This window comes from Homo sapiens, chromosome 16, assembly GCF_000001405.40.
Source record: "Homo sapiens chromosome 16, GRCh38.p14 Primary Assembly".
In the NCBI taxonomy this organism is placed as follows: Eukaryota; Metazoa; Chordata; class Mammalia; order Primates; family Hominidae; genus Homo; species Homo sapiens.
Window position 1 is genome coordinate 67,334,841 of NC_000016.10, and position 21,014 is coordinate 67,355,854.

At 39.8% G+C, this 21,014-nt stretch overlaps 1 protein-coding gene across 16 annotated transcripts in view; it reads left to right on the forward strand.

Moving 5' to 3' along the window:
* The window catches only part of LRRC36 (leucine rich repeat containing 36), a 58,390-nt gene that overhangs the window by 8,026 nt on the left and 29,350 nt on the right, over positions 1 to 21,014 (forward strand). For 12 of the 16 annotated variants that reach the window (NM_018296.6, XM_005256025.3, XM_005256027.3 and 9 more), the window contains exons 2-5: positions 7,117 to 7,244; positions 11,416 to 11,608; positions 12,655 to 12,751; positions 15,362 to 15,450. The exons of 1 other annotated variant lie outside the window; for it this stretch is intronic. In NM_018296.6, coding sequence (NP_060766.5) covers positions 7,117 to 7,244; positions 11,416 to 11,608; positions 12,655 to 12,751; positions 15,362 to 15,450 — 507 coding nt within the window. Of the gene's footprint in view, positions 1 to 7,116; positions 7,245 to 11,415; positions 11,609 to 12,522; positions 12,752 to 15,361; positions 15,451 to 21,014 lie in introns of those variants that run through there. 3 more of the 16 variants (XM_005256028.2, NM_001161575.2, XM_047434332.1) reach the window with 3 other exon arrangements.

Sequence of the window (21,014 nt, forward strand, 5' to 3'; positions counted from 1 at the left end):
TCTGGGGGAGACATCACATGTCAGCAGGTTCCGTGATGCCCCCTGAGCCATAAAACCAGCAAGTTTTTATTAGTGATTTTCAAAAGGGGAGGGAGTGTACGAATAGGGGGTGGGTCACATAGATCACATGCTTCACAAGGTAATAAGATATCACAAGGTAAATGGAGGCAGGGCGAGATCACAGGACCACAGGACCGGGGTGAAATTAAAATTGCTAATGAAGTTTCAGGCACGCATTGTCATTGATAACATCTTATCAGGAAACAGGATTTGAGAGCAGACAACTGGTCTGACCAAAATTTATTAGGTGGGAATTTCCTCGTCCTAATAAGCCTGGGAGCACTACGGGAGACCGGGGCTTATTTCATCCTACAGCTGTGACCATAAAAGACATCTGCCCCCAAAGCAGCCATTTTAGAGGCCTCCCTTCAGGGATGCATTCTCTTTCTCAGGGATGTTCCTTGCTGAGAAAAAGAATTCAGCGATATTTCTCCTGTTTGCTTTTGAAAGAAGAGAAATATGGCTCTGTTCCACCTGGCTCACCGGCAATCAGAGTTTAAAGGTTATCTCTCTTGTTCCCTGAACATTGCTGTTATCCTGTTCTTTTTTCAAGGTGCCCAGATTTCATATTGTTCAAACACACATGCTCTACAAACAATTTGTGCAGTTAATGCAATCATCACAGGGTCCTGAGGCAACATACATCCTCCTCAGTTTACGAAGATGACGGAATTAAGAGATTAAAGTAAAGACAGGCATAGGAAATCACAAGAGTATTGATTGGGGAAGTGATAAGTGTCCATGAAACCTTCACAATTTATGTTCTTCTGCCATGGCTTCAGCTGGTCCCTCTGTTTGGGGTCCCTGACTTCCCGCAACAGACAACCACTGATCTTTTTTTTTTTTTTTGAGACAGACTTTCGCTGTTGTTGCCCAGGCTGGAATGCAGTGGCACGATCTTGGCTCACGGCAGCCTCCACCTCCCGGGTTCAAGCGATTCTCCTGCCTCAGCCTCCCGAGTAGCTGGGATTACGGGCATGTGCCACTACGCCCAGCTAATTTTGTATTTTTAGTAGAGACAGGGTTTCTCCAGGTTGGTCAGGCTGGTCTCAAACCCCCAGCCTCAGGTGATCCGCCCGTCTCGGTCTCCCAAAGTGTTGGGATTACAGGCGTGAGCCACCGCACCCGGCCCAACCACTGGTCTTTTTATTGTTGCCTTTTTCAGAATGTCATATAGTTGGAATCATATAGTATGTAACCTTTCAAACTGATTTCTCTCACTTAGCAATATGTATTTAAGGCTCCTCCATGTCTTTCCGTGGTTAATAGCCCATTTCTTTTTATTGCTGAATAGTATTACACTCTGTGGATGTACCATTGTTTGCTTATCCATTTACCTATTGAAGGACATCTTGGTTGCTCCCAAGTTTTGGTAATTATGAAGAAAGCTGCTGTAAACATTCATGTGCAGGTTTGGGTGTGGACATAAAGTTTCAACTTGCTTGAGTAAATACCAAGGGATTTACTTGTGTTTAGCTTTGCAAGAAACTGCCAAGTTGTCTTCTCAGGTGGCTTCACCATTTTGTATTCCCACCCCCAATGAATGAGAGTTCCTTTTGCCCCACATCCTCACCAACATTTAGCATTGTGAAAGTTTTAAGATTTGGGCCATTCTAACAAATTTATAGTGGTATCTCATTTTAATTTGTAATTTCCTAACGATTTATGATGTTGACCATTTTTTTCATATGTTTGTTTAGTGGAGTGTCTGGTTTGGGGTTTATTTTTATTGCTTTTTAGAGACAGGTTCTTGCTATGTTGCCCAGGCTGGACTTGAACTTCTGGACTCAAGCAATCCTGTCTCAGCCTCCCCAGTAACTGAGACTACAGGTATGTGCCACTGCATCCAGTTTTTCTTTTGCCTACTTTTTTTTTTTTTATGGAAATAGGGTAATCTTACTTTGTTGCCTAGGTTGGAGTGCAGTGGTGCCATCATGACTCACTGTAGCCTGGAATTCTTGGTTTCAAGTGATCCTCCCACTTCAGCCTACCAAGTAGCTAGGACTACTGGGCTGTGCCACCACACCCGGCTAATTTTTTTAATTTTTTGTAGAGACAGGGTCCTACTATGTTGCCCAGGCTTGTCTCAAACTCCTGGCCTCAAATGATCTGCCTGCCTTGGCCTCCCAAAGTGCTGGGATTACAGACTTGAGCCACCATGCCAGGCCCATCATTCCTTTTTATGGCTGAGTGATAGTCCTTCTTGTGGATATACCACATTTTTGTTTATTCATTCATCTGTTGATGGGCATTTGGGTTGTTTCCATCTTTTGGATATTTTGAATAATGCTGCTATGGATGTTGGTGTACAAATACTGTTCAGGTCCTTGCTTTCAATTCTTTTGGATATATACCCAGAAGTGGAGTTATTCTATTGTTCTTTTGTGCTCTTATTTTCATTATTTGGTCTTCATTTCAAAAATGACGTTTTAATTTTTATTATTTCTTTCTTTTATTTTTCTTTTCTTTCTTTTTTTTTTTTTTGAGAAGGAGTTTCACTCTTGTTGCCCAGGCTGGAGTGCAATGGTGCGACTGCAGCCCCCACCTCCTGGATTCAAGTGATTCTCTTGCCTCAGCCTTCTGAGTAGCTGGGATTACAGGCGTGTGCCACTAGGCCAAGATAATTTTTTTGTATTTTTAGTAGAGACAGGGTTTTGCCATGTTGGTCAGTCTGGTCTCAAACTCCTGGCCTCAGGTGATCTGCCCACCTCGGCCTTCCAAAGTGCTGGGATTACAGGCGTGAGCCACCACACTCGGCCTAATTTTTATTATTTCTTGAATTCTGTCTTCTCTGTATTCAATTTTTTTTCTTTTCTAATCATCTTTCTGAATTTGTCTATTCTAATTTACATTTTTCAGTTAATTTCCACATTTTTGGGTCTCAAGATCCCTTTACACCTTAAAAAATTATTGAGGGCTGGGCGTGGTGGTTCCCAGCACTTTGGAACGCCGAGGCAGGCGGGTCACCTGAGGTCGGGAGTTTGAGACCAGCCTGCCCAACATGGAGAAACTCCATCTCTACTAAAAATACAAATTAGCTGGGTGTGGTGGCGTATGCCTGTAATCCCAGCTACTTGGGAGGCTGAGGCAGGAGAATCGCCTGAACCCAGGAGGCAGAGGTTGTGATGAGCTGAGATGGCACCATTGCAGTCCAGCCTGGGAAACAAGAATGAAACTCCATCTCAAAAAAAAAAAAATTATTGAGGACCTCAAAGAGCTTTTGTTAATGTGGACTATATCTACTAATATCTACCATACAGAAATTAAAACTGAGAAAAATTTAAAATATTTATTAATTTATTAATAGGTAACCATAACATAGACATTATGTTAATATAAATATTTCTATGAAAAATAACTATTTCCTAAAATAAAAAAATAGTGAGGAAAGTATCACTGATTTATATTCTTGCAAACCTCCTTAATGTTTTGTTTAAAAGAAGACAGCTAGATTCTCATACCTGCTTCTGTATTTAATTTGTTATGATATATTGTTTTACTTGAAATATGTGAAAAAGTCTGGCCTCATACAGAAATGTAATTGGAAAAGGAAGGAATATTTTAATAGTCTTTCATCAAATTTTTTATATTCTTCTTTGATACAATATGAAAACAGGACAAGTGGTAGTTTCTTAAAGTTTAGTTGAATGTGGAATCTGAAACAACATCAATGAAATTTTTGTACTGTTACTTCAGAATCTATTGGTATATCTTACATATGGATGAATCTTTTACCCATGCATGATTTTGTAACGTTACACATTGGTCATTTGAAAAATATTGACTCACTAAGTTATGTAGATCTTCCAAATATTGACAAATTTCATTATATAATGTTTAAAAATCATGTTTGTTAATATCATCATCAATGTCATTTGAAAAACCTTTTAAGTGTTGAGAAGCCATCAGGTTCATGGTGGCAGATACAAGCTTTTCAAATTTCTAATTTCTGCTTGGAAGCTGAATTTTTTTTTTTTTTTTTTTTTTTTTTTTTTTTTTTTTTTTTTTTTTAGGGACAGAGTCTCGCTCTGTTGCCCAGGCTGGAGTGCAGTGATGCGATCTTGGCTCACTGCAACCCCTGTCTCCTGGGCTGAAGCAATTCTTCTGCCTCAGCCTCCTGAGTAGCTGGGATCACAGGCATGTGCCACCATGCCTCGCTAATTTTTGTATTTTTGGTAGAGACGTGGTTTCACCATGTTGGCCAGGCTGGTCTCGAACTCCTGACCTCAAGTGATCCGCCCACCTCAGCCTCCCAAAGTGTTGGGATTACAGACATGAGCCACTGCACCCAGCCATGATTCATTCTCAAGGTGCCAGTAGCTTTTGCTCTTGCACCATAAGTGTAAATGTTAATACTGTAAAAAAAAAAAAAAAAAGGCAATTAGTGTCTTCATATTATTATGAAAATAATTCTTTAAAAGTAGTTTTAACTTTGTGGACCCCTGTACATGTCTCAGGGACCTCCAGGGGTTTAGGGACCATACTTTGAGAGCTGCTACATTGCTATGATGTTTTTAAACTTGTTTTGAAATATTAAGTTACAGTTTTCATTTGTGGATGTATCTTTCTGGAGTGCTTTTAATTTTAGGGGTATTATTCTGCTCCTTTTAAAAAAATAATAACCTCATATAAGATTTGACTATAATCCTTTTCTGTGGCTCTTTAAGTGCAGTTAAGTTTTCTTACACTTAGGTGGGAAAGGTGGGCCAGAATAGCTTTTTTAGTTTCAAGGTTTTGGAGCTCCCTCTTCTGTTGTGTTCACAGAGTAGTGTAAAACATGACATGCTTCCTGAGATCCGTCCATTCTGCTTCCCTCCCCTATTCATATCTGGACCTTTTATTTCCTTTGCATCTATGTCCCTGTTCCATTCAGTGTAGATTCTACTCCCACTAATTTCTCCGTGGTATGGGTCTTGTCCTGAAAGGGATCTTTGGTTTATGACTATTTAAAGCTTATGGGGGCCAGGCACGGTGGCTGACGCCTGTAATCCCACCACTTTGGGAGGCCAAGTCAGGTGGATCACCTGAGGTCAGGAGTTTGAGACCAGCCTGGGTAACATGGTGAAACCCCGTCTCTACTGAAAGTACAAAAATTAGCCAGGCATAGTGGCACACACCTTAATCCCACCTACTTGGGAGGCTGAGGCAGGAGAATCACTTGAACCCAGGAGATGGAGGTTGCAGTGAGCCAAGATCGCACCATTGCACTCCAGCCTGGGTGACAAGAGTGAGATTCCATCTCAATAAATAAATAAATAATAAAATAAAATAAAGTTTATGGGACCCAGACTGCTCTAGCAACTTAAGATCTTATTTCAATGCAGTCTCCTGGCACTTATCTGCAAACTGGATTCTGTAGAACTCTCTTCCAGTTTTGGTTGCTATTCGCAGTTTGGCCTACCACCCTTGCCAGTGAGTTCTTACTGACAATTTTGAGATTCTCCCCTTTTCAGGACTGTTAATAGTCTAGTTGATGCCCAGGCTCAGTGGCTCATGCCTGTAATCCCAGCACTTTGGGAGGCTGAGGCTGAGACTGGTGGATCACCTGAGGTCAGGAGTTCAAGAGCAGCTTGGCAAAACCCCGTTTCTACCTAAAATACAAAAAATTAGCCGGGTGTGGTGGTGCACACCTGTGTTCCCAGCTACTTGGGAGGCTGAGGCAGGAGAATCTCTTGAACTTGGGAGGTGGAGGTTGCAGTGAGCTGAGATCACACCACTGCACTCCAGCTTGGGCGAAAGAGCAAGACTCCATCTCAAAAAAAATAGAAAAAAAAGTCTAGTTGACTTTTATCTACTTCTTCTCATATATGTATATTCTATATATATACTCTATAGAATATATACCACATATACTCTATAGAATATATACCACATATACTCTATAGAATATATACCACATATACTCTATAGAATATATACCACATATACTCTATAGAATATATACCACATATACTCTATAGAATATATACTACATATACTCTATAGAATATATACTACATATACTCTATAGAATATAGAATATGTACTACATATACTCTATAGAATATAGAATATGTACTACATATATTCTATAGAATATAGAATATGTATATTATATATAGAATATGTATTCTATAGAATATGTACTCTACATATTCTATAGAATATGTACTCTACATATTCTATAGAATATGTACTCTACATATTCTATAGAATATGTACTCTACATATTCTATAGAATATGTACTCTACATATTCTATAGAATATGTACTCTACATATTCTATAGAATATGTACTCTACATATTCTATATATAGATTTAATATATGTCATTTAATATATAATTTAATATATATAATTATATATAATTATATATATTCTATATATACTATAGCCTATCTATAGTCTATAGACAGTCTATAGACTATAGACTATAGACTATATATAGTCTATATATATGTTTTGTACATATGCATTAATTTAATTCTTGTAACACCTTATGAATTGAGTACCATTGTTACCCCCATTTTACAGATGAGGAAACTGATGCACAAAGAGGTTAAGTGACTTGAACAAGGTCGCAGATGTAGTATATTGTCTTTCGTATCAATGTACTATTATTTAGGCTGTCTGGCTCTATTTTTCTGCTGATGGACCTTTGACAGTTTTCTATTTCTTTCTTTTTAATTTTTTTTACTATCTTAAAACCGCTCTGAAATTGACATCCTTGTGCTATATTTTATATAACCTGCCAAAATTTTGTGGTTATTATCCATAGGGCTAAATCCTAGCAGTGGGGTTGCTGAATATCTTTTGAAATTTTGTTTTGAGAACTTTTGGAGACTTTTAGTACATCCTTCAGGGAAATTAGAAAAACTCAAGGGCTCTATAAAACTAAGGTTCAATGTCACTATATTAGACCATACTGCTGCTTTTAAAAAGAAGATCTGATCTTATGAGGCTTGGATGTAGGGCCTTGCACAGTTGAGATATGGGAGGAAGAAAGGCCTACTTTCACTGACTCTGCTGTTGATCCGAGCAGGGATCATAATATATCTACTGATGATCTCTTTTCAGAACTGGTGGAGTCTCTTTCATTGCAGGGATCTTATGCTGGCAAAATCCATTCCATTGGTGATGCCTTCAGAAATTTTAAAAATCTCCGATCCTTAGATTTATCAAGGAATTTGATCACTAGCCTTAAGGTAAGTTATATATTCTATGACCAGCCAGGTCTGCCCAATTTATTTTTTTGATGGGAAGAAATAAGAGATAGATCATGTCATCCTGGGGAATATAAGACCTTCCCTTTAAATGATTCCCAACTAAATTTAATTATTTCTTATAAAATTCTTTCAACTTTGCAGTATATTTTAAATTGTTATAAAATATTGGGAGGGCAATTTATTTTATACTCTCGGAAAACTATATTAAGATATCACTGTCTAGGGCAAATGCATAAATTTTAGTGTGTATAAAAAATTATGAAGAACACTTGTAGAAGTACAGATTCTCAGTCCCTACTGTGAGAGTTGGTCTGATTTAGTAGGTCTAGGGTAGGCTCAGGACATACTCAGGGGATTCTGATGATGGTGGTACATGGAGCATACATGGAGAAACACTGGCCTGTGTTGTTATTGTGAGTTTTTTCTATGAGGAGAAGGAAGGTGTGGTCTTGGGAAAATTTAAGTCAGGGGATGATGGAGCAGAGGGCAGTATAGGAAGGCAGGAGGGACCAAGCATGAACAGTGTGCGTGTGGATTAGCAAACACGCACAAAGAACTCTACAAACATGAGTGTGCACACACAGAGATGGAGTTTTGTTTTCTTTGTGGTAGACCCCCAAATACTGCTTCTTCCTCATGTTCCCATTTTGCCCAAGCTCTGCACCTGTCTTGGCAAAGCCCTTCTATGCAAGATCGAGCGTGACAAAGACTCACAGATGCTATCCAGGATTAGTTACTGATCTTCTGGGTCATCTACCAGTTTTGCACTTCCTAGGGGATATTTGTTCAACAACACATCCAGACCCAATCCCAAGGTTTAGCTAAGGGCCTAAAAGATCAAAAGCCCTAAGATCAAATTTCCATCTAGGACTCTAAAATCAGCAACTCCAAGTTCAACTAGGTCTTTAGACTATTTTTTAGCAGCCATTTATATTTGGCCTATCAGTTTCAGAAAGGATTAGTTCTTTCACAGGTGATAGGATCCAATTTAAAAAATGAAAAGATAAAATATAAAAAGAAAGTATTAGTTCAGAGTTGCTTAGGTCTCCTCTTTTGTTTGTTTATTCTTTTTCTGGCTAAAAAATTAAGTGAACATTGCTGTAATTTGTTTTTATACTTCCTTTCTTTCACTTCGGTAAACTGGGTGAAAAACTTAGGAAAATAATCAAATTAGGGCTGGGCACGGTGACTCACACCTATAATGCAGCGCTTCGGAAGGCTGAGGCAGGCAGATTGCTTGAGCCCAGGAGTTCAAGACCAGCCTGAGCAACATAGTGAGACCCCTATCTCTATTTTAAAAAATCAAGTTGTCTGGTCACGGTGGCTCATGCCTGTAATCTCAGCACTTTGGGAGGCCAAGGTGGGTGGATCCCGAAGTCAGGAGTTCGAGACCAGCTTGGCCAACATGGTGAAACCCCGTCTCTACTAAAAATACAAAAATTAGCCAGGCGTGGTGGCAGGCGCCTGTAGTCCCAGCTACTTGGGAGGCTGAAGGAGGAGAATTGCTTGAACCTGGGAGGCAGAGGTTGCAGTGAGCCTAGATCGCACCACTACACTCCAGCCTGGGCAAAAGAGTGAGACCATCTCAAAAAAAAAAAAAATCAAGTTAACACGTGTAATCAAATAGAACATATATAAGACTCCTGGTACAGTGCTTGGCATATAGGAAGCACTCAGTAATGTTAGTTTTCTATATTTTTTGCATCTATGATTTTTATTTATTTTTTTTGAGACAGAGTCTCACTCTGTCGTCCAGGTTGGAGTGCAGTAGTGTGATCTTGGCTCACTGCAACCTCCGCCTCCCAGGTTCAGGAGATTCTCCTGACTCAGCCTCCTGAGTAGCTGAGATTACAGGCACCCACCACCACACCCAGCTAATTTTTGTATTTTTAGTAAAGACAGGGTTTCACCATGTTAGCCAGGTTGGTCTCAAACTCCTGACCTCAGGTGATCTGCCCACCTCAGCCTCCCAAAGTGCTGGGATTAGAGGCATGAGCCACCATGCCCAGCCACATCTGTGATTTTATATTAATCTTTAACAGTTCTGAATCCCTTTGTTTAATTTTCCTGGGAGAAAATGTTTTGTGATTATTTGTAGCGTAACTTTGGGGAATACATAAATTCATGACAACTGGTAAAAGTGAGAGGATAAGAGTTTCCTTAATTTTTACACTGAGAGACATTAAAAGATTACTTAAGCCAGGTGTGGTGGTTTATGTCTGTAATCCCAGCACTTTGGGAGGCTGAGGCAGGAGGATCACTTGAGGCAAGGAGTTTGAGACTAGCTTGAGCAATAAAGCAAGACCCTGTCTCTACAAAACAGAAACAAACAAACAAACAAAAACCATAGTTGTTGGTGCGTGCCTATAATCCCAGCTATTTGGGAGGCTGAAGCAGGAGGATCCCTTGCCCTAGGAGTTCAAGGCTGCAGTGAGCCTTGTTCATGCCACTACACTCCAGCCTGGGTGACAGAGCAAGATCCTCTCAGAAAAAACCAAAAAACAAAAAAACTTGAGCTGGGCCATTAGACCATGAAAGACAGTCCTAATGGTGCACTGCCCTGAGAGTGAGGCCAAGGGCACTGATAGCTATTCCTCACCACTGACCCATTAACAATATGGAAGTTAATGGAATTGGAGAAAACAACAACAACAAAAAAAACAAATACAAAACAGAAAGAAATGCATCAAAGTATAAACAGGGTTGTGTTGGGAATGTTTTGTATCTATCTTTGGGTTTTCTAAATTTCTTGCAATGAGAAAATGATAATTTTAAATGGGAGGAGAATAAAAACATTATTTTATAAATACATGATGGAAAATAATTTCACCTTTCCAAAATAATTCTCAATGACAGAATTCCTTTTATGGAAAGCATTTTTACTATTTTTTTTTTTGCATTTGTACTATTAAAAGTATATGATTAACCAGGCACAGTGGCTCATGCCTGTAATCCCAACACTTTGGGAGGCCAAGGCAGGATAATTGCTTGAGCTCAGGAGTTCAAGACCAGCCTGGGCAACATAGTGAGACATTGTCTCTACTAAAAATCAAAAAATAGTTAGCCAGGTGTGGTGCCACATGCCTGTATTCCCAGCTACTCAGGGGCTGAGGCGAGAGCATCACTTGAGCCCAGGAAGTCAGGGCTGCAGTGAGCTCTGATCGTACCACTGCACTCCAGCCTGGGCGATAGAGTGATACCCTGTCTCAAAAAAAAAAAAAAAAAGTATGCGATTATACATATGTACATGTTTTGAAATTGTCCTGAAATTTAGTATTGGGCAAAAGCAGCTAACTAGCTAAATACATAAAGATGAAATCTTTTCAATAGCAGGTTTCAGCAGAGGAAGAAAACTGTGGCTTTTCCTCTTGAGTTTGCCAGGCCTGATTGTACTGTTGCCAGTTAGGTAGAGGGTGGGGTTGCTAAATCCACAAGAAAGAGAACTGAACAAGGAAGAACATTTCTGCAAAGGAGAACTGACTGATTGATTAAATGGGAAGCTTGCGTGGTAGCAGGAACTCTGAAGAGGAAAACAGTCTAGGAGGCCTAGACTGGTCCAGGAGTGAGGACTTGGAGATAGCATTGTTTTGTTTCCCTAAATAGTCCTTTGACCATATAAGTGAGGCACTGAGATATGAGAACACAACACAACACACACACACATACACACACACACACTTTTTTTTTTTTAACCATGCCCCTTTCCCCCAGAACCAGCTTTTTTGCTTACCTCCCTTCTTCTTGTAAATTAAGGTGCTTTTGGGATCAGGAGAGGGGTTGGGACAAAAGTGAGAGAATTCTAATGTGGCTTGGCCACTGGGAAACCACTGTGAAGGATTGGATTGCATTGGGAGAATAATTGGAGAGCCAACAGAAGTGGAGAATTGACTGCAGATATTTGAGTGTCAGATTTTGTAAAGAAGGAAATGTATTATATATGTGAATTATTTAACGTATGGAACACCCAGTGCTCATGGACTGCAGTGGTCTTATTTTCGGACAAGTTAAGTGAGAGTTCCAGCCCTGCCTTTCTCACGGGGACTTGGATAACATGTTTAAGGACGGAAAGTAACATATATTTCCATCTTTATCTATGAGGTTCCTAGTCTTTACCAATATGCCATTTCATAATGTGGTGTTTTCCTTGTAGGGAATCCAGTATTTATGTTCACTCCAAGACCTGAATTTATATTATAACAACATTCCTTCATTAGTGGAAGTGTCCCGTCTACAACCGTTACCCTTCCTCAAAGAACTGGATTTGAGACTTAATCCTGTTGTAAGGAAAGATACAGATTATAGGCTCTTTGCTGTATATACACTACAAACTCTGGAGAAATTAGGTAAGACCTTCCTTCTCTGTTCCTGTCCACAGAATCTTACTTTAAATCAGCTGCCCCTTAACCTTTTGGATGTTGGCCCACAGTGTGCACTGGCAGGATATATTTGTTTATTAGTCAATATTTATGTAACTCTTTTGTGTTGGCAGGATGTATGACGAGTTCTTTTATTGTTTATTGAATGACAGTCTATGATTTTATTAGTTACTTCCAGCTTTAGTTTTCTTCAGTTGATGGTTTCACCGCCCCTTCCTCCTCAACACAAAATTTCCAGGTTGAGAATTATTTTTCCAGGTGCCCCAACTTTGCAACTGTATTAGCAATAGAAAGCTAATACAATTTATTTGGGGGCTTAGTTGGGGGCTTAGTTGAAGAAATATTCCTTCAAATGAGCTGGTCTATATTTTCTTATTATTTTACTTTATTTTTTATTTATTTATTTATTTTGAGACAGGGTCTCACTCTGTTGCCCAGGCTGGAGTGCAGTGGCACGATCTTGGCTCACTGCCGCCTGGACCTCCCAGGCTCAAGCAATTCTCACATCTCAGTCTCCCAAGTAGCTGGAACTACAGGCACGCACCACCACACCCAGCTAATTTTTGTGTTTTTTGTAGAGATGGGGTTTCATCATGTTGCCCAGACTGGACTTCCTTATAATTTTATTGTTGAGTATACATTTCTTATTGATACAAAATTGGATTTCACATGGCCCTGGGAAAGTAATTGTAGGGAAACTAAGTAAACTCTTTCAGACAATGGTATGACTTTCAGCCCTAACATTAGGCCTTTGAATTGTTTACTGTCCAAGCTCTGCTTTCCTGAAGGGTAGTTACAACTGTGAGGCAGTGGTCGCTATGGCTTCCTGCAGTCTCCCTGAGTTCCTGCCTGCTCCAGTGACAACATAATAGCATTATTTTGTGACCTGTCTCTAACACACCAAGATGAGACTGGTCCTAATTTTTCCTCTGCGAATATGGTTTTCTGATTAACTACTAGTTATGTCTATGCCAAAAAAAGAAACATGCTCAGACCACGGTTTTTGCCTCCAGATGACCGAACTGTACGTGAAGGTGAGAGAAAAGCTGCCAAGCTGCATTTTAGTCAGTTGGGCAACAGTGAAAATTTTCTTTTAGAGGTGGAAAAAAGGTAAGAAGATTCTTTACAAAATTTTTAAAGTTTGGTTCTGGACATAGGAAATAGTGAATTCCTGCTTAGCTTTCTTCATTTTCCAGCAGAAATTTCCCACAAATTGTAAGAATCCTCAGATCAGGAATAAAAGTATTTATTCTGCAAACTGAGATTTATCTGGGATGATAATCTGGCCCTCAGTGGGTACATTCCTGTTTTCTTGAACTTTGGGTATAATTGTTAGAAATTCTCTAAAGTTGTTGTTCACAGGTTATAGATAGGGATACTATGAGATTACTTATTCCTATAAATGCTTACCAACTCTTTCTCAGTAGAGTTATCAATCAGTTCCTGATCTTGTCCTATTGAATTAGGATTACATTACCATGGGCAAGATTGTTAGAGATAAATTTGTTAAAGGAAGGGAAGAGAAGCATTTCTCTTCGAAACAAAAAGTGAACAAACATTGAGGCTCTAAAATTTCTGAATGGTAGCTTTGTCCATTACTAAAATCCTATCAAAAGAAGTTACCATTATCTTCTACCCCCAAACCTATGCTTTTTAAAAAGTAGTTTTATTATTTTTTAAAAATAGATAGCAGTCCATTACAATTTTAATAATACAGAAAAGTACACTGAAAAAAGTCAAAATCACTTCATATCCTACAATTGAGAGTTAACTATTAGTAATGTTTGGTATATATCCTTCCAGATATCCTTGTACTATAGACACATATAGATAATATCAGCATTTTTTCTGATGACAAAGGTAATACATGCTTATTGTTGAGAATTTGGAAAGTACAGAAAAAAACACAAGGGATAAAATAAGTAATTCATAATCCTACCATTCAGAAAGAAACATTCATTATATTCTGGTAAATATCCTTTTTTTTTTTCTTTTTGAGACGGAGTCTTGCTCTGTCACCCAGGCTGGAGTGCAGTGGTGCGATCTTGGCTCACTACAACCTCCACCTCCCGGGTTCAAGTGATTCTGCTGCCTCAGCCTCCTGTGTAGCTGGGATTACAGGTGCACACCACTGCCTAGCTCACCATTTTTAATTTAACAAGCTATCATGAACATATCCCCACAACATTATTCTTATATTATTCTCCAGAATAAGTCTTTTGTTTGTTTATTGCTTTTACCTTTACTACTAGAACATAAACTCCATGAGAACAAGGATCTTGTTGGTCTTGCTTATTACAGTATCCCAGTTGCTAGAACCGTGTCTGGAATACAGACGATGCTAAGAAATAATGTATTGAATGATGAATGAATGAGGTCAGTGCCTATTGGCCTGAGATCCTTCCCTTTCCCAGTGACTTTGCCTGTCTCTGCTCTGATCCATTATATGTTTTTTAGTGCAGCCTTCAGTGAACATTCTTAGTTTCCTATTTTTTTCTTAGTTTCCTATTTTTTAAAATCAGATTTATTGAGGTTACTTTGCATGGAATAGTCACTCTTCTTTAGATAGAAATTGAATGCTTCTAAAACATTGTTTATATGTTTTGTGGATTAATTTCTATTTTAAATGCAATGGGTAACATTCACTACAAAAATACAGAGATTAATTAATGTGTAACTGAATAAACCTTCTAATAAACAGATAAATTAATTCCATCATTTATCTGTTTATTTACCATATAATGATTGCAAAACTGGAGGAAAAATGTTACTCAAGTACCCTGTATTAACATTAATATCTTATAAGCTCTCTAACCTTGGGTGAAGTTTTTTTTTTTTTAAGCCTTTCTGAGTCCCAGTTCCCCCACCTATAAAATGGAGATAATGACCAGTAGGGGGCCTTTTATGATTACATGAAATGGTGATTATAAAGCATCTGATACATACAGCCTAGGCTTTGTGTACTTACTGTACTACCCAAGGTATCTACCTGCCTTTCTTGTCTGCTTTTCTAAATAATGGCTATAGTTGTCTCCTCTATAATTCTTGGCAGCAGAACCTTCCTTTCTGTGTCCTAACTATGAGTGTTTTAATTCAAAAGAAACTGTCCTACCCCCTCAATCATTCAGATCTAAGTATGTGTCAAGAAAACAGAGTATCTAAGTTCTAAATCTTCTGGCTTTCACATTTTACAGGCTGAACTATAGTGTCCTTCTCTCATATTTCCCAGTATAAATATTACTTTTTCTTATAAAGTATGGCTTTAACTGAAATATTTGTGCAACTTTTTTTTTTTTGGAGACAGAGTCTTGCTCTGTCACCCAAACTGGAGTACAGTGGCGTGATCTCAGCTCACTGCAACCTCTGCCTCCTGGGTTCAAGTGATTCTCCTGCCTCAGCCTTCTGAGTAGCTGGGACTACAGGCACCCGCCACCACACGTGGCTGATTTTTGTATTTTTAGTAGAGACAGGGTTTCGCCATGTTGGCCAGGCTGGTCTTGAACTCCTGACCTCAGGTGATCCACCCGCCTCGGCCTCCCAAAGTGCTGGGATTACAGGGGTGAGCCACTGTGCCCGGCTGAAACATAATTAAATTAATATGTTCTAGAGCATTTGAGAAAAATCTGATCACCATAGACTGCTTTCTAAATAGCATTTACTGGTGATCTCAGAAGCCTTTTTTTTTTTTTTGAGTTGTAAATAAATTATTCTATGTGGCAGCTCTAGGGAGAAGACAATGAAAAACTGTGTAACAGGTGAGAGCTCTGCATCAAAAGTCAGTGCTAATGTTGACAGCAGGATTGAAATGGGTAAGTTTTCTCCCTGTGATTATAAAATGATTAAAACATCAGTTATCTCAGCTGCCATAGCCAATATTGGGTAAGATGAAGACACATAGTTGAGAAAGAACCAATTTGAAGCAAGCACAGGTTTACTGGCTGTGTTTTTCTTCCATCCTCTCACTGCCAGAAGGACCTTACAGAGCAGGCCTAACCCAGAGCCCATGAAAGCACAAGCTGTACTTGGAGAGTTCAATTTCATTTACATCACTTTACATCATTAGTATACCCAGAAAATTACATCAGTGATTGATTTAATTAGAGACTGGCGACTCATCTGCATACATCCAGCTCACACCCTGGGCTTCCTGGGCTGCCCAACCAAGAACCTTTGCAGCTGTAGAATCTCTTGTGTTTGGGATATATTACTGGGGAATGTTTACTATATTCCTGTAAATACAGTTGATAAGCCAATATAGCTAAAGTGGTTATGCCAGGCTGGGCACAGTGGCTCACGCCTGTAATCCCAGCACTTTGGGAGGCCGAGGCAGACAGATCACCTGAGGTTGCGAGTTTAAGACCAGCCTGACCGACATGGAGAAACCCTGTCTCTACTAAAAATACAAAATTAGCCGGGCTTGGTGGCGCATGCCTGTAATCCCATCTACTCGGGAGGCTGAGGCAGGAGAATCACTTGAACCTGGGAGGCAGAGGTTGTGGTGAGCCGAGATCACGCCATTGCACTCCAGCCTAGGCAACAAAAGTGAAACTCCATCTTAAAAAAATAAATAAATAAAAAATAAATAAAGTGGTTATGCCACATTAATGGTCATGTCACAGGCCGGGAGAAAGCTTTCCACCAGAGAAGTTGCATCCAGTGAATCCTTGTGGATTAGCTTGGCACTGTCAGATAAATCAAGTGACCTTTTACTTGAGAAAATATTCTTCGGTCTCAGTGCCTCTTCCCTTGGAAGAATCTAGTGAATTATACACAAACTCTAAACATCAATTCCTAAAAGCCAAGCAATAACTTTAGTAGATTGACTCTACACTGTAGTTCAGACATTAAGCATTTTCGGTTTATAACATGTATTTTATTTTCTTGATTTCTTATCATTTATTGACAAATGATTTTTAGAGTATTTTGTGATAAAATGAGACACGGGCCGGGCATGGTGGCTCACACCTGTAATCTCAGCACTTTGGGAGGCTGAGATGGGCAGATCACCTAAGGCCAGGAATTCAACACCTGCCTGGCCAACATGGCAAAACCCCATCTCTACTAAAAATACAAAAATTAGCCATGCGTGGTGGCACATGCTTGCAATCCCAGCTACTTGAGTGGCTGAGGCATGAGAATTGCTTGAACCCGGGAAGCGGAGGTTGCAGTGAGCCCAGATTGCGCCACTGCACTCTAGCCTGAGCGACAGAGTGAGACTCTGTCTCAAAAAACAAACACACAAAAAGACATAATGAGGTGTGACTTTAATGTTCATTTCTTGGATGTCCCAGTACATATAAATATTGGGAGTATGGATTACTTTATTTCATTTTAAATAGCATTTTTAATATTTTTAAATTGATACAATTTTATTGTAATAATTTTGGAAAAGACTGAAAAGCATGAAAAACAACATTTTGGTCCTAGTTAATGCTTTGGTATACAGCCTTCCTTGGTATACCACCTTTGGTATACAGCCTAGTCTTTTTTCTAGGTACAGGCATTTAAGTATCCATTTCCAGACAGAGAAAAATACATTGAAGCATAATTTGACAACCTGTTTTTGTATAAGCTGAATTAGACTTCATTTGTGCCATATTACTTCATTAACACAATTAAAAAGTCTGAAAGTGTACTTTCTCTTCTAAGAACAAACTGCTTTGCTAGAGGGCCCATTTCTAAAGGTTCTTAGAAGCCCCAGCTGTTGCCTGGATTTTTTTTAATATAAAATTTATTTTGCTACTTCGAAACGTTAAGGAGCTTTGTTTTCCACTGAAAATTGTGTTTGTGCTGGATTCCCTGGGGAGTGTTGCCAGTAAGCACTGTTGGTAATCCAATATGATCAAAGTGGTTATGCCATGTTAATGGCCATGCCACAGGCTAGGAGAAAACTTTCTGGAGAACATCTCTCACTAGCTCAGTTGTTCCCAATGGTGTTTTCCCACCAATCATTGCGAATGGGCACTGAACCTCCACTGTCTTGGATCCTCCTCTTATTCTCCTAACCACATAATCATTGACTCTTTGAAAGGTTCCTCTCTCTCTTCCCATATCCCCGAAATAGGCGTACCTAGGCTATATCTTTGGGCTCTCCTGTTTTTTCTCTTTGCCCCTATTGATCTCATCTATTTTACGGCCTTATTTATAAATAAATAAATGTCTTATTTATTTATTTATTTATTTATTTATTTATTTATTTATTTATTTATTTTTTGAGGCAGGGTCTCATTCTGTTGCCCAGGCTGGAGTGCAGTGGTGCAAACTCAGCTCACTGCAACCTCTGCCTCCTAGGCTCAAGCCATCCTCCCAGTTCATCCTCCTGAGTAGCTGGGACTACAGGTGTGTGCTACCATGCACAGCTAAGTTTTGTATTTTTTTGCAGAGAGGGGGTTTTGCCATTTTTCCATGTTGCCCAGGCTGGTCTTGAACTCCTGAGCTCAAGCAATTTTCCCCCCTCAGCCTCCCAAAGTGCTAGGATTATAGGCGTGAGCCACTGTGCCCAGCCTGTTTATTTATTTATATTTATTTTATAGTCTTTCCTCATATCTTAAATATATTGGTCTAGCTTTGACAACCTGCACTGGTCTCTCTCTGCACCAGGCCCATATTTCTGTTGACCAACTTGTAATATACACTTGGAATCACCACTGTTTAACAGCCTCTCAAGCTAAACATGTCCAAAATAACCCCCAAAACAAACAAACAAATAAGCCCCTCTCCCTCAACCCTAAACAGCTCCTAGGGTTTCATCAGTATTACCACAGCTTTCCCATTACCCTGGCCCAGAATCATGTTGGGGTTTGATGCTGCTGCTACTCTGAGCTGAATGTTCATGCCCTGTAGTATGATCCACAATTGACGAGCCTTCCTTTCCATTTCTTTTTTTATTTTTTGTTTTTGTTTTTGTTTTGTTTTGTTTTTTTGAGACAGAGTCTCACTGTGTCATCCAGGCTGGAGTACAGTGGCGAGATCTCGGCTCACTGCAACCTTTGCCTCCCAAGTTCAAGCAATTCTCGTGCCTCAGCCTTTGGAATAGCTGGGATTACAGGTGCGCACCAACATGCCCAGCTAATTTTTGTATTTTTAGTGGAGACAGGGTTTCACCATGTTGATCAGGCTGGTCTCGAACTCCTGGCCTCAAGTGACCCACGTTCCTCGGCCTCCCAAGGTGCTGGGATTATAGCACGTCCAGCCCCTTTCCATTTCTTGATAGTCTCTTACCAGGCATGGTTAATTATCTCAGTTAATCCTCACAACAACCTTGAAGGTGGTTCTACAGGTGAGGAAACTGATACCCAAAGAGGGGAAATAACTTGCCCTAGTTATGCAGTAAGTGGCAGAGCTAGGAGGCAAACTCTGGTCCATCTGTCATCAAAGTCCTCTTAACCATTACATGATACTGCTTCACAGTCTCTTACTCCTTCAATTCATTTTGTACTTTGCTGCCAGATTAATTCTCTTAAAACACAGCTGTGATGATTTATTATGCTTGCCTGCTCAAAAACTTCTCTGGCTCCCACTCCCCTACTAAATTAAGTCTAAACTCCTTTACTTGGTGTATAAGACTCCCCTAAGCTCTATCTGTAATTTGTCTCTTCAGCCTAAGCTGAAAGCTTATCTCCTGTTTGTCAACTACAATGTCCAATACTCAATCAAACCACTCCTTCCTCCCCCAAATAGTCCTTCCTTTCTCCCTCCTCTGTCCCTAAACTAATGCTGTCCCCCTGCTTGTAATGCTTTACTCAAATCCTACCCTTCTTTATGACCCAGACCAAAGCCCATCCATTTTAATGAAACTTTTTTTGTTTGTTTTTGAGACAGAGTCTCACTCAGTTGCTCAGGCTGGAGTGCAGTGGCGTCATCTCGGCTTATTGCAACTTCCACCTCCCGGGTTCAAGTGATTCTCATGTCTCACCTGCCCGAATACCTGGGATTACAGGCGTGTACCACCACGCCTGGTTAATATTTGTGTTTTTAGTAGAGATAGGGTTTTACCATGTTGGCCAGGCTGGTCTGAAACCCCTAACCTCAAGTGATCCACCCACCTGGGCCTCCCAAAGTGCTAGGATTACAGATGTGAAACACTGCACCTGGCCAATAATCTGATTTTTAAAACATATTTTATTTTTTAGAACAGTTTTAGATTCACAGCAAAATTTATCAGGCAGTAGAGTTCCCATATACCCTACCTGCACACATGCACAGCCTCCCTGACTATGGACATCCTGCCCCAGAGTGGTACATTTGTTACAATTGGATAAACCTGCACTGACACATCATTATAACCCAAAGTTCACAGTTTACATTAGGTTTCGTTCTTGGTGTTGTACATTCTATGGGCTTGATGAATGTATAAACGACATGTATCTACTGTTGTAGTATCATACAAAAATAGCTTCACTGCCCTATGAATTCTCTGTGCTTACCTATTTATTCCTTCATCCTCTCTAATCCCTGGCAACCACTGATCTTTATACTGTCTCCATAGTATTGCCTTTTCCAGAATGTCATATAGTTGGAATCATTCAGTATGTAGCCTTTCAGATTGGCTTCTTTCACTTAGCAATATACACTTAAATTTCCTCCATGCCTTTTCATGGCTTGACAGCTCATTTCTTCTTAGTGCTGAATAATATTTTATTGTCTGGATGTACCACAGTTTATTTATCCACTCACCCACTGAAAGACATCTTGGTTGCTTCCAAGTTTTGGCAATTATGACTAGAACTGTTATAAACAACCTTGTGCAGGTTTTTGTGTGGGCATAAGTTTTCAACTCATTTGAGTACTTACCAAAGAACATGATTGCTGGATCATATAACAGTATGTTGAGCTTTGTAAGAAACTGCCAAATTGTTCCAATATAATCTTTTTAAGATGTCTTTTTTTTTTTTTTTTTTTTTTTTTTTTTGAGACGGAGTCTCGCTCTGTCGCCCAGGCTGGAGTGCAGTGGCGGGATCTCGGCTCACTGCAAGCTCCGCCTCCCGGGTTCACGCCATTCTCCTGCCTCAGCCTCCCAAGTAGCTGGGACTACAGGCGCCCGCCACTACGCCCGGCTAATTTTTTGTATTTTTAGTAGAGACGGGGTTTCACTGTTTTAGCCGGGATGGTCTCGATCTCCTGACCTCATGATCCGCCCGCCTCGGCCTCCCAAAGTGCTGGGATTACAGGCGTGAGCCACCGCGCCCGGTCTTTTAAGATGTCTTTTTATATACTGAGTTTAGTTTCTTATAGTTTCTCAAACTGGACTCCTGTTCTCAGAGTTGATTAGAACATTGAGCTTGAGAAACACTGATGTGGCTGGTGACATGCTACAGAAGCCCACTGTGTGCTGGGGACAGTGGAGAAAGGTTTTATGGCAGATATGGAAACA